The following is a 13,394-nucleotide window of genomic DNA, read 5'->3' on the forward strand; positions in this document are numbered from 1 at the left end:
GCCATTCACAAGACCAGAGAAGGCCCTTCAGCAGAGAGACTGACTGATGCAGGAACAAGGGCCCAGCCATGCCTGAGCTATGTAAAACGTCCTTACGCTGTCATCAGAAGTTGCCTTATCTATTATCACCTCTGGCAGAAGCTGTCCATTGGGGAGCATGAGGGCTGAGCGTCCATCAACCAGGGAGACCACACCGTTGCAGTCCACAGCACTGTGCATTTTCCCGTTCACCGGCAGCATTGGTGGGGACCTACTGGCTTGGCTGATGTTACTGCTGCGTCGCTCCTGGGGTCTGTGGGGCACAAACAGTGAGCCCCTTCTGCTCTCATTGTCTCCAAAAATGCTGTGCTCATCATCGGCAAATTCAGTCTCAGATCCTATATCTCTTCCTCTGCCTTTGAAACTAAAAAGACTTGTTCTGCTGCTTCGCCTTGCAGAAAACAAGGAGCCACGAATGCTGAGTGGTGACTGCAGAAAAATTAAAAAAAACGTGGTTGCTGAAGCACCTACTGATAGAAGTACACTTCATATAAATACCACTGAACCCACTGGCCTGAGGGCAGGTGGCTCTGTACTGACTTAAAAGAAACATACTTAAAAACGAAGCAATTCAGTGAGAAGAAAACTTCTTCCACTTAAGGGATGAAACAATTTGTAGAATTCATCCTTTCAGGACCAGGTAAATTATTTGTTGCTATACAGCTCTCTAATATTCTGGCCTAGAGTTACTGCTCCATTCTTTTAATGCCATTCATTTTGCTGCACAGAACTTATAACTTAAAAAAAGAACTTAGTATTGCTACTGGTCATTCAACTTTTTATATATCAATCCCCAGGCTTCACAAAAAAATTGGAAATCATGCTGTATGGTTCTTTGCATTGAAAATCCACCTTACATACTAAGAGCTCAGTTAAAGTGTATTTAAAGAGAGCTTTTAGCACCAGTTAATTTATAAAGTCATTAAATATTTAAAAAGAAGTTGCCCAATACCAAAGAGGAGGAAAAATTCAATTCATGCTTATATGACTCATGTCCAGGGTGTAAATCCTTTGGAAGGATCTAGTTCAATAGACATTAGTGCTTACTATGTAAAGAACAAAGTGGCAACTATTGTGAACAATGGAAAAAGTATGGTAAGGTCTTTGCCTCAAAACCAGCTTGGACTGCTCCTGTCATATTTATTTTTATTGATATATGTGTCCAAGTTCTGTATCATCACCTAGGTTCAAGTGAAATTTTGAAGGCAGGGACTCTATCTTTTTTTACTGTGTATATCAGGAGAATCTTGTAGATTTTTAACTAGATTTTTAGTTTAGAAAAGTGATTTGTGGGGTTGTGTGATGGAAAACAGGGAAGACCTAAGGAAAACAGAAGCAATGGTTCATCTTGGGGATTTGTGCAGAATTATAAGCAGGGAGGCCTGAGAGATGAAGGTTTCAGTGAAAAGAGAAAGGGAAAGAGAACTTCCACATAAACAGAATTAACAGACTATGGCACTACATATTAGTAGTTGATGTGGTTGGGGGTGGAGGATATCAAAGGCTTCTCCAAAGTTCCAAATGGGTGAGTGATACTATTACCTATACTGTTTAAGAAAGAAGAGAAACTAGTCTAAGATTAGTTTTTAACCAATGAAGCATTACAAAACACAGACTAAATACAAATATAAAAGTTATTCTATAGTGTGAATGGTCTCTTTATTTCTACAATGGTTCTCAGGAACATTTTGCTTCTGAAAATTAGTTTATTAGAGAATATATTGACAATTCTGAAACTATAAGGTCTTTCAAAAATGATTGAACCCAAATGGAAACCTGTGTACATCTTTCCATAAATGCCTAGCGATACTAGGTTTTTACCTAAAATCATACCAATGAAATCACTCACTATCCTCTCCCGAGTTCTCTTACCCTAAAATAAGACATTTTTCTCTAGCATTCTGCCTCGGGTGATACACATTTAGCAATTTGGGTGGTACCTGATTGGGGGTAGACAACCTCTTTTCATGTGCTCGCCTATGCCCTTCGACACCAAGGTGGAAACTTTTTCTTCTGATGCTGTCCTCTGATTCTGATTTCGACAATTTCTCAGCATCTCCCTTTTCCTCTCCACTGGAGAGCTTCTTTTGATTCTTTTTCTTTCTTCTGTTTCTTCTTTCTTTAGCACTTTTAGAGCTCAGTTTGGATGTTTCAGAAGAACTCTCTGAGAGGCCCATAATTCTGCTTCTCCTAATACTTGTATATTCAGCCGCTGCCGCTGCAATTGCCTGGTTGGGCCAAGACGTTAACACTTAAATGAGTCATTTCCAAATCCTAGGAAACCCTAGGACAGGACATCTTTCACCTATTAGCATAACAACATGGTGCATATAATCATGTCCTTTAAACATGAAATGATCGTTTTCTTTACACAATGATCAGAATGCTTACAAAGTATATATTTGGTTTTTGTCTCAGGTTGAAATAAAGCTCTATTGTATTTTAGAATTAAACTATTACATGTTATTAATTTGCTTACAGTAAAGACAAATTAAATATTATATGTTAAAGTTTTACAAGGTAATTTTGGAATGTAAAACTCGCATAAACCATGCAATAAGACAGACAATTTGATTATCAGGCAATTAACTCCATATCATCAATAGAATCAGGCACTCTATGGTTTAATAAAGATTGAGTTATTTGAAAAATAAATGAATTATTAAAGCATAATATTGTAAGAAAGTGGTAAGGTCAATGACTATTGGCCTAAATGAAACTTCTGGGAATTCCCTAGGTAGTACCTGGGATAACCTAGTACTATCCCTTTACAAAATGTTTTGTTTATAAACACTAAAAAATTCTTGTAAAAACATGGGAAATAAAGATATAAATGAAAAACAGAAAAAAAGTCATCTTACCTCCCAGAAATAATTGGTGCTAATATTTCTTCCATTCTTTTTATATGTATGTATAATTTTAAAATTGAGATTGTATCGGACTATATTATTTAATCCATCATTATTCTAAAAGATTTTTCCTCATGATAAAATAATTTTAAAAAAACACATAGTTCTATGGCAAAATAATACTTTAAGATATACAATTTTCATAATTTTCTTAGTTATTTTCTAATTTTCCAAAATTTAAATTTTTTCTGATTTTTACCATTATTAAAATGCTGCACTGAATATTTGTGCATCAGAATTTATCTGCATTGCAGATGATTGCCCTCCCCTAATACATTAGACTCCTTGAAGAGATTTAACTAGGTGAAACCTTCAGACAAATGTTAAGGCAACTGCAGTACATTTGAAATTATGTTTCTCTTAGTACAAGCCTTCTCAAACATTTACACTGAAGAATCTCTCTGGAAAGAGGATTAAGGAGGAAACTTTCGAGAATCTATGACAACCTAAATTAGCCACACCAAAATTATTTTCTTAATATCTCATGTTTTATCTTAAAAATCCTTGTGACATTAACAAAACATGATGCACTGTTTTAGTCATACCCCATAGAAGAGTATCTGTTAATTTTAACGTTAAAATAATTTTCATGAAACCACTGTATACAATTGGTACTCTGGGGAAATCCATTGTGTGTATGTGTGTATATATATACATATATATATTGTATATATATATAAATTGAGATTATATATATATTATATATCTGACTATATTATTTAATCAATTATTCTAAAAGATTTTTCCTCATGATATAATAATTTAAAAAAACACATAGTTCCATGTGTTTATATATATATATATATATATATATATACACACACATTTATATGTATATGTGTATGTATATATAGACATACACACACACACACTAAGTCATTGTAGGTAAAAGGTTTAAGAGGAACAGCCTTAGATCACTTTTCATGCAGTGAGATGATTATGGGGAAAGTATCAATTCTAGCTCAGCCCAGAATTGGTTCCTTTTTCCACACCAGAAATGAGGATACAGTTTATACACAAAAATTCATTAAAGAAAATCTAGCTGGAGAAGGCCAAGCATATACCGCAGAGCCTCTGTTGTAACCGTTTGCATTTCTACCTCTAGGAAGAATTTTAAATCAAATAACAGTACCTCAGCTTCTTCTTGCTCTTTTTTAAGACGGTCTAACATCTGTTGAAATTCTAATTCTTTCTGTTTAGCTTCTTCAATGTTTGCCTGGTTCTGTTCTTCATATGCCATGGCAACCACAGCCAGGATCAAGTTTATTAGATAAAAGGAGCCCAGGAAAATCACTACGACAAAGAAGATCATGTAGGTTTTGCCAGCAGCACGCAGCGTCTAGGGAAAAATGGAAATTGTCATTTGAACAATAAAAAGTTTTTTTAGTAAATTATTTCAATTTGACAGGCATGAGCAAATCTGACAGTTTGGTATAATCTCATGTTATCAAAAATATAAAGAGAAAAGTTATATCTTCATGGAAAACAAATATTAAACACATTTTCAGTACGAAGAATATAGCAATGTAATATGCTTGTACTAAAGTCATGTAAGATTCTTGATTATTAAGTGTAGTAGTATAAAAATCATGCATTTTTTCCTACAGTCTGAAAATTACTCATAAAATTAAATCCTTTGCTCACTTTCAAATTTTAGGAACAGGTGATATCCATAGTCCCTTTTACTGTTAAAATTCTATCTTTTCTTTCTTTATCATCAAATATTAATAATATCATTGAATGTTAACACTAGGCAGATGGTCTTATTTAATTACTTTATTCATCTCATAGGTATTTTCAATTAACTTTTTTTTTCGCTTTCTTTGCTTTTTAAAATAGAATTTTTTTTCAAAATAGTTTTAGGATTAGAGGAAAATTAAACTGAAGGTACAGAGATTTTTTTTTCTTTTTTTCTTTTTTTTGGCATAACGTGCAGGTTTGTTACATGGGTAGACACGTGCCATGGTGGTTTGCTGCACCCATCAACCTGTTACCTACATTAGGTATGTCTCCTAATGCTATTCCTCCCTTTGCCCCCCACCACCGACAGGCCCCAGTGTGTGATGATCTTCTCATTGCCCATGTGTTCTCATTGCCCACCTCTCACTCATGAGTGAGAACATGCGTTGTTTGGTTTTCTGTTCCTGTTTTAGTTTGCTGAGAATGATGGTTTCTAGCTTCATCCATGTCCCTGCAAAGGACATGAACTTATTCTTTTTTATGGCTGCATAGTATTCCATGGTGTATATGTGCCACATTTTCTTTATCCAGTCTATCATTGATGGGCATTTGGGTTGGTTCCCAGTCTTTGCTATTGTGAATAGTGCCACAATAAACATATGTGTGCATGTGTCTTTACCATAGAATGATATGTAATCTTTTGGGTATATACCCAGTAATGGGATTGCTGGGTCACTGTCTTCCACACTGGTTGAACTAATTTACACTCCTACCAACAGTTTAAAAGCATTCCTATTTCTCCACATTTTCTCCAGCATCTGTTATTTTCTGACTTTTTAATTATCACCATTCTAACTGGCATGAGATGGTATCTCATTGTGGTTTTGAATTGCATTTCTCTAATGGCCAGTGATGATGAGCTTTTTTTCATATGTTTAAGTTATGGGATACATGTGAAGAACATGCAGGTTGGTTACACAGGTATACATGTGCTATGGTGGTTTGCTCCACCTATCAACCCATTATCTAGGTTTTAAGACCTGCATGCATTAGGTAGTTGTCCTAACGTTCTCCCTCCCCTTGCCTCCCACCCCCCAACAGGCCCCGGTGTGTGTTGTTCCCCTCCCTGTGTCCATGTGTTCAAATTGTTCAACTCCCACTTATGAGTGAGAACATGCAGTGTTTGGTTTTCTCTTCCTGTATTAGTTTGCTGAGGATGATGGCTTCCAGCTTCATCCATGTCCCTGTAAAGGACATGATCTCATTCTTTTTTAATGGCTGCATAGTATTCCATGGTGTATATGTACCACATTTTCTTTATACAATTTAACATTGATGGGCATTTGAGTTGATTCCATCTCTTTGCTATTGTAAATAGTACTGCAATAAACATATGTGTGCATGTGTCTTTGTAGTAGAATGATTTATATTCGTTTCGGTATATACCCAGTAATGGGATTGCTAGGTCAAATGGTATTTCTGGTTCTAGGTCCTTAAGGAATTGCCTCACTGTCTTCAAAATTGTTGAACTAATTTACACTCCCACCAACAGTGTAAAAGTGCTACTATTTCTTCATAGCCTCACCAGAATCTATTGTTTCTCAACTTTTTAATAATCACCATTCTGACTGACTTGAGATGGTATCTCATTGTGGTTTTGATTTGCGTTTCTTAATGATCACTGATGTTGAGCTTTTTTTCATGTTTTTTGGCCGCATAAATGTCTTCTTTTGAGAAGTCTCTGTTCATATCCTTTGCCCACTTTTTGATGGGATGCAAGGCTGGTTCAATATATGCAAATCAATAAATGTAATCCATCACATAAACAGAACCAATGACAAAAACCACATGATTATCTCAATAGATGCAGAGAAGGTCTTCAATAAAATGCAACATCCATTCATGTTAAAAACTATCAATAAACTAGGTATTGATGGAACATATCTCAAAATAATAAGAGCTATTTATGAAAACTCCATAGCCAATATCATACTGAATGGGAAAAAGCTGGAAGCATTCCCTTTAAAAACTGGCACAAGACAAGGATGCCCTCTCTCACCACTGCTATTCAATATAGTGTTGGAATTTCTGGCCAGGGCAATCAGACAAGAGAAAGAAATAAAGGGTATTCAAATAGGAAGACCGGAAGTCAAATTGTCTCTGCAAATGACATGATTCTATATTTAGAAAACCCGATCATCTCAGCCCCAAAACTCTTTAAACTGATAAGCAACTTCAGCAAGGTATCAGGATACAAAATCAATGTGCAAAAATCACAGGCATTCCTATACACCAACAATAGACAAGCAGAGAGCCAAATCATGAATAAACTCCCATTTGCAATTGCTATAAAGAGAATAAAATACCTAGGAATACAGCTTACAAAGGATATGAAAGACCTCTTCAAGAACTACAAGCCACTACTCAAGGAAACAAGAGAGGACACAAACAAATGGAAAAACATTCCATACTCATGGATAGGAAGAATCAATGTCATGTAAATGGCCATACTGCCGAAAGTAATTTATAGATTCAATGCTAGTCCCATCAAATTACCATTGACATCTTCACAGAATTAGAAAACTACTTTAAATTTCATATGAAACCAGGAAAGAGCACATATAGCAAAGACAATTCTAAGCAAAAAGAACAAAGCTGGAGGCATCAGCCTACCTGACTTCAAACTATACTATGAGGTTACAGTAACCAAAACAGCATGGTAGTGGTACCCAAACAGACATATAGGCCAATGGAATAGAATAGAGACCTCAGAAATAACACCACACTTCTACAAGCATCTGATCTTCGACAAACCTGACAAAAACAAGCAATGTGGAAAGGATTCCCTATATAATAAATGGTGCTGGGGAAGCTGGCTAGCCATATGCAGAAAACTGAAACTGGGCTCCTTCCTTACACCTTATACAAAAATTAACTCAAGATGGATTAAAGACTTAATGTAAAACCCCAAACCATGAAAACCCTAGAAGAAAACCTAGGCAACACCATTCAGGAAATAGGCATGGGCAAAGACTTCATGACAAAAATACCAAAAGCAATTGCAACCAAAGCCAAAATTGACAAATGGGATATAACTAAACTAAAGAGCTTCTGCACAGCAAAAGAAACTAACATCAGAGTGAACAGGCAAACTATAGAATGGGAGAAAAATTTGGCAATCTACCCATCTGACAAAGGTCTAATATTAAGAATCTACAAGTAACTTAAACAAATTTATAAGATAATTAACATTTCTATTAATAATTGTATAATGTAATATACTTTTATCATACAAAGCATTTTAAAGTGAATTTAGGATAGTATCAACTGATATTAAATGAAAAATAAGTCTTACCTCTGATGAAAAATTATTTTAATTTTTTTATTTGTGTTTCTTTAATTTTGAGTAAAGGTGACCACTTCTTGCATATTTAAAAAATATTTGCATTCCCATTTTTGCTGTAAAGTGCATCTTACATAATTTCCGAATTCATTTATAATATTCTCGGAAATAAAGTAAATATAAAATAGGCCAAAAAAGAAAAAAAAACAGATCTGCAGCTATTCTGAGAAAAGTGAATCATTGTTATGTGTACTATAGAATAATCATTTTGGTCTCCTTCCTTTTGGCTTGGCTGCTGAGACTATACAAGTAAATGGAGACCACAGCCCCAAGAGGTTCACATTCAAGTTAGAGGAAATAGCCACATGAATTACCACTTGCAATACAAGAGATCAATGATATAAATGGAAGAAAATACAAAAAATCATGGAAGTCTACAGTTGGGAGCAATTGATTTGGGAGAGAAAAACTTAGAGAAATGAATTGCATCTTTAACTTTAAATAGGAGTTCAAAAATAAAACATGGTGAGCAGGTGAACATCAGAGAGCCTCTTCTCTTCAGGCCATCCCAAGCACGCATGGAAAACAGTCCATGTGCAGGAGCAGCTTGAGAAAACATTACAGTATGTCCTGGTACTTAACTAGGACCCCATGGGATGATATACTCAGGAAGGCGAGAGATCTAGAGATTAAATATGCCCAGAAAAGATAAGAAAATTATTTATGATTCGAGAACTACCCATATTATTAGTGATGGGAGTAAAACACTTATAATTTTGGTAATAAGATAATAGAGTTTCCTCCATTCTCAAATAAATAAAAAACCTCCTAATACAGGCTCTTAACATACACCAGGTACATATGCCATTCAAAAATACAATGCATGTTTCTCTTGGTACTCACCTGTTGGTAAAGGTTTTCCCAGTAATCTTGGGTCATTAGCCTAAACAAGGCTAAGAAGGCCCAGCTGAAAGTGTCAAAGCTCGTGTAGCCATAATCAGGGTTTCTGCCAATTTTCACACAGGTGTACCCCTCTGGACACTGACTACACACGAGAAAGAACATTATAGGTGAGAGTGTCTTCAGGACACAAGCTAAATAGCCTTACTGAAAAGTTACAAACTCAAGGTTTCTTCTATAGGGGGACAATATTGAATAAGGATTAAGAATACATGATTTGGCTACTGACTACTTAGTGACTTTACCAAATTCTTCAAGGCATAAGTCTGTCTGTGAAAATAGGATAATAACATCTACCTCAAGAAAATAAGACTTGTAATAAGTTTAAATAAGATAATGTGTACAAATTACTTAGCTTACATCCTGCACATAGAAAGTGTTTAATAAATCATAGCTGCCATTAGCATCATCATCATTAAAACATGGAAATTTTCAACAGACGTTTTGTGATAGTTCTTGGTTCAGTAAATATTGATATGTAGGCTGTTACCAAAGCTCTTTCTGTCTGTATAATTCTTGGAATAGATTAGAGTCAATAATAGTCAAAATATAGTAATTGTCTAAGTTCATAAAAATGTGCAGCTTTAAGACTTTTTTCTTTCTAAAATTGGTGGACTGGTTTTTCCTGATGCCATTAAATAAATACAATATTCTGAGATTCTTCTGGGAACAGCAACCTTATCCAGTTTATTCCTATGTTGCCAGTGTACACAGAGCCTGATGAATAGATGTCTGCATAGGGGGAAAAGCAAGAGCTTATGCAGCTGATGCTACAAAATGAAGTTGGTGTAAGAGAGAAGCAGCAAGATGGACAGTTGAATATATACAATATTCTTATATATACAATATTCTTAAAATATGTGTACCCAAGTCCAAGGAATCCCTTTGCTTAGAGTGGCCAAAACATGACATTCAGTCACCTATGAGTCACATTTAATTGGAGAATGAGTGGAACTTGGGAGTAGAAAGAAAAATAGACTTTGTGACTCTTCGTTTTCCAGAAAGAAGACCTGAAATTATCCAACCAACTTTTGGTGGAGTTTTCTAGAAGTAACATTTTCTACCTTCTTAAGATTTATATGACTTCTGTCTTGTGTTAATTCGAGCACTGTCTCAAAGTCTTGCTTTCAAGAGTATGCATTAACTGTGAACATTTTAAAGACTGGATTTGCTGTGGGACAGAATGAGTCAAATAATACCATGAAATATATAAAAAGCAATATAGAATCAAAGACTAATTTGCAAACTGACTGAACATTCTTTTCCTTCTCTTTCAGCCTTTAGACTAAAAAGAAAACAAATATTACATACCCTGAATCTGTGCTGAAACCACAAAGGAGAGCATCTTTGGATCCTTCCAAGTAATAAAAATATTCTGTTGAAGAAGAATTTGAACAGTTATAACATCACAGACTTTAATCTGTGATTGTGATAAAGGAGGTAAATTAATTGATATAGACATTTATCTACAAATTCAGGCCTGGTCCCAGGCAATATGCATCCATTTATTTACTATTTTCTCATATATTCTCCCTCAAATATTTATTGATAATCTCTTAGAGGCTAGGCAATAAACATGACAATAAACACGATAAATAAAATCATTAGTTTTATGAGACCTCCTTTATGTTTAGGTGAGGGTGGAGGTTGTGGTTGGATAAAAATTTAAGTAAATAAATAAATATACAAGATATTTTCAGATAGTGATAAATGATCTAAAGAAAATAAATTAAGGCAACGTGGTAGGCTGCAGTCAGGGACGGTCTTTCTAAGGAGATGATATTTAAACTAAGACCTAAGTGTGACAAAGAAGACAGCCATGAAAATACTGGTGAAGAGATATTTGGGCTGGGGGAAGAGAAAGAACTAAAGCCCTAAGGCAGAGATGAAGTTGGTGTGTGGAAAAGCCAGCAAGATGGCCAGTGTGGCTACAGTGTGGTGAGAGGGAGGATTGTGATGGCAGAGGTAGGCAGGGGCCGGATCATGTCGGAATTTGCATATCATAGAAATGAGTTTGGATTTTAAGTATGATTAAAGGTACGGTCATGTGTCACTTAATGACTGTGATACATTCTGAGAAATGCATCATTAGGACGTTTCGTCCTTGTGCAAACATCCTAGGGTGCACTTATACAAACCTAGATGGTATAGGCTACCATACACCTAGGCTATGTGGTATAGCCTATTGCTCCTGGGCTGCAAACCTGTAGAGTGGGCTACTGTACTCAATATTGTAGGCAACTGTTATACAATGGAAAGTGTGTATCTAAAGACAGAAAAGGTACAGTAAAAAAATACAGTATTATAATCTTATGAGATCACCATTATATATATGGTCCGCTATTGACTAAAACATCCTTATGTGGTACAATACTCCGGAAGAGGCAGACTCAGTAAGGCAGTAACATAAGTGAGTAAAATTTGTTTTCTAAAATTATCTTACTTTTCATTCACCAGTCCATACTTACTTAGGACCTACTAATTCTAGGTGTTGAGGAGATGACAATGTAATCAATGCAGATTTTCCATGTTTCACCTTTCATGGTATTCTTTGTGCTAATTTTTAGTAGTAAAAGTTCTCATCAACTCTTCTGTCATTTGCTGTTAAGGCTTGTTCCTAAGACTGGGGGCAGATCTATCCTTGTATAGTAAATGTTTAAATGACTAAAAAACCTTTTGTCATCTCTCTTAAATATCTATTCTACTATAAGAACCTGACTTCCTATTTTACTCAGGTCAAATTAAAAAATCTGATTATTGGGAGACTTTTGGAGTAATCATGGAAGAAAGACTATGAAATCAGATATTCTTGGATTTGAATGTTGCTTCTATCCCTTCTTAAGTAAGTGAATTATCTTTAAGCCATTAAGCCTTAGCTGCTGCATCTGTAAAATACGTATAAGAATACCTACTTTATAAAGTTGTTAAATAGTATAAATAGGATATTGCATGTAAACCACTTGATACTGTGATCCACACATTCTGTACTAGCTGCTCAAAAACAGGAGTTATTATAATTAGTTAAACTATTATACAATTTGAGATAAAACTATTGATTGAATTACACATCATCATTTTATCTTACTTAGAAGACACAGATAAAACAATAAAGCCTTGCAGTTTGAGGTGCAAATGTAGGTGAAAATGTGCATGAAAAGCTTTCCTGAAAACACTCCTGAACCTCGGGAAGGATGGGCCTGGTAGAGTGAGTATGGGAGAGGATAAGATGCAATTTTGCATACATAAACATCCAAAATATTTTAATAAGGATGGATTACTTTAGAATTATCCTTTAAACTAATGCTGGTTCACATTTATCAACCACTGAGGAGCTGAATTATATGAATGGGCTCTGGAGCTGTCTATTAGCACACTGCTATACTACTGTATTTAACACAGTATAAGAATGATGAAAGGTAAAGCAATGCAGGTAGCTCACTCTAGGTTTGTAGAAAACTTTACAATAATTTCTAAACAACTAGACATTAAATTATTAAGATGGTTGGCTTCAAGAAGATTTAAGGTTAACATCTTTAAAAATGGGAAAAAATTGAATGCAAAGAAAAATGAAATATTGCTTGTGCATATTCAAAAGTGGGATGATTCTGAAAGATAAAGAATGAATCACGGCCGGGCGCAGTGGCTCACGCCTGTAATGCCAGCACTTTGGGAGGTCGAGGCGGGCAGATCACGAGGTCAGGAGATCGAGACCATCCTGGCTAACACAATGAAACCCCGTCTCTACTAAAAATACAAAAAAATAGCTGGGCGTGGTGGCGGGCACCTGTAGTCCCAGCTACTTGGCAGGCTGAGGCAGGAGAATGGTGTGAACCCGGGAGGCGGAGCTTACAGTGAGCCGAGATAGCGACACTGCATTCCAGCCTAGGCGACAGAGTGAGACTCCATCTCAAAAAAAAAAAAAAAAAAAAAAAAAAAAAAAGAACCATGACTCAGTAATCCCACTACTAGGTATATACTGAGAACTGAAAATTGAAAATGTATTTCCACAAAAACTTGTACATGAATGTTTACAGCAACATTATGCATTATAACCAAAAGACGGAAATAACCCAAATGTCCATCAACTGATGAATGTATAAACAAAATATAGCATATACATACAATGAAATATCATTTAGCAATAAAAAGAAATGAAGCATAGATACATACTATACCATGGATAAATTTTGAAAACATTATGCTAGGTGTAAGAAGCCAGATACAAAAAGCCATATATTATATGCTTCCATGTATATTAAATCTACAGAGTGGGTAAATCCCTAGGGACAGAAAGTAGATTAGTGGTTGCCAGGGGCTGGGAGAAAAGGGAAATGGGGAATGACTACTAACGGGCCCTGGGTTTCTTGGTGGGAAAGATGAAAATATTTTAAATTAGATAGTGGCGATCGTTGCACAACTCTGAGTATAGTTTAAAAAATGAGTTATACAGTTTAAAAAAAGGA

The 13,394-nt window shown here is 35.4% G+C and overlaps 1 protein-coding gene and 1 long non-coding RNA gene across 9 annotated transcripts in view; one reads left to right on the forward strand and one right to left on the reverse strand.

Moving 5' to 3' along the window:
* SCN1A-AS1 (SCN1A and SCN9A antisense RNA 1) overlaps positions 1-13,394 on the forward strand; it is a 220,254-nt gene that overhangs the window by 202,826 nt on the left and 4,034 nt on the right. The window contains exons 9-10 of the long non-coding RNA NR_110260.1: positions 10,209-10,371; positions 11,667-11,773. This is a non-coding gene — a long non-coding RNA (SCN1A and SCN9A antisense RNA 1). The remainder of the gene's footprint in view (positions 1-10,208; positions 10,372-11,666; positions 11,774-13,394) is intronic.
* Positions 1-13,394, reverse strand: part of SCN9A (sodium voltage-gated channel alpha subunit 9) — a 180,803-nt gene that overhangs the window by 89,172 nt on the left and 78,237 nt on the right. For 6 of the 8 annotated variants that reach the window (XR_001738886.2, XM_011511617.3, XM_011511619.3 and 3 more), the window contains 5 exons: positions 10,243-10,306; positions 8,875-9,016; positions 4,081-4,287; positions 1,980-2,267; positions 97-468 (listed from right to left, as the gene is read on the reverse strand). Coding sequence is in view for 7 of the 8 variants with exons in the window: in XM_011511617.3 (XP_011509919.1) it covers positions 97-468; positions 1,980-2,267; positions 4,081-4,287; positions 8,875-9,016; positions 10,243-10,306 (1,073 nt within the window). In the remaining variant the exon portion in view is untranslated. The remainder of the gene's footprint in view (positions 1-96; positions 469-1,979; positions 2,268-4,080; positions 4,288-8,874; positions 9,017-10,242; positions 10,307-13,394) is intronic. The other 2 variants (XM_011511618.3, NM_002977.4) reach the window with 1 other exon arrangement.

The sequence above is a fragment of the Homo sapiens genome, chromosome 2 (genome assembly GCF_000001405.40).
Source record: "Homo sapiens chromosome 2, GRCh38.p14 Primary Assembly".
Classification (NCBI taxonomy): Eukaryota; Metazoa; Chordata; class Mammalia; order Primates; family Hominidae; genus Homo; species Homo sapiens.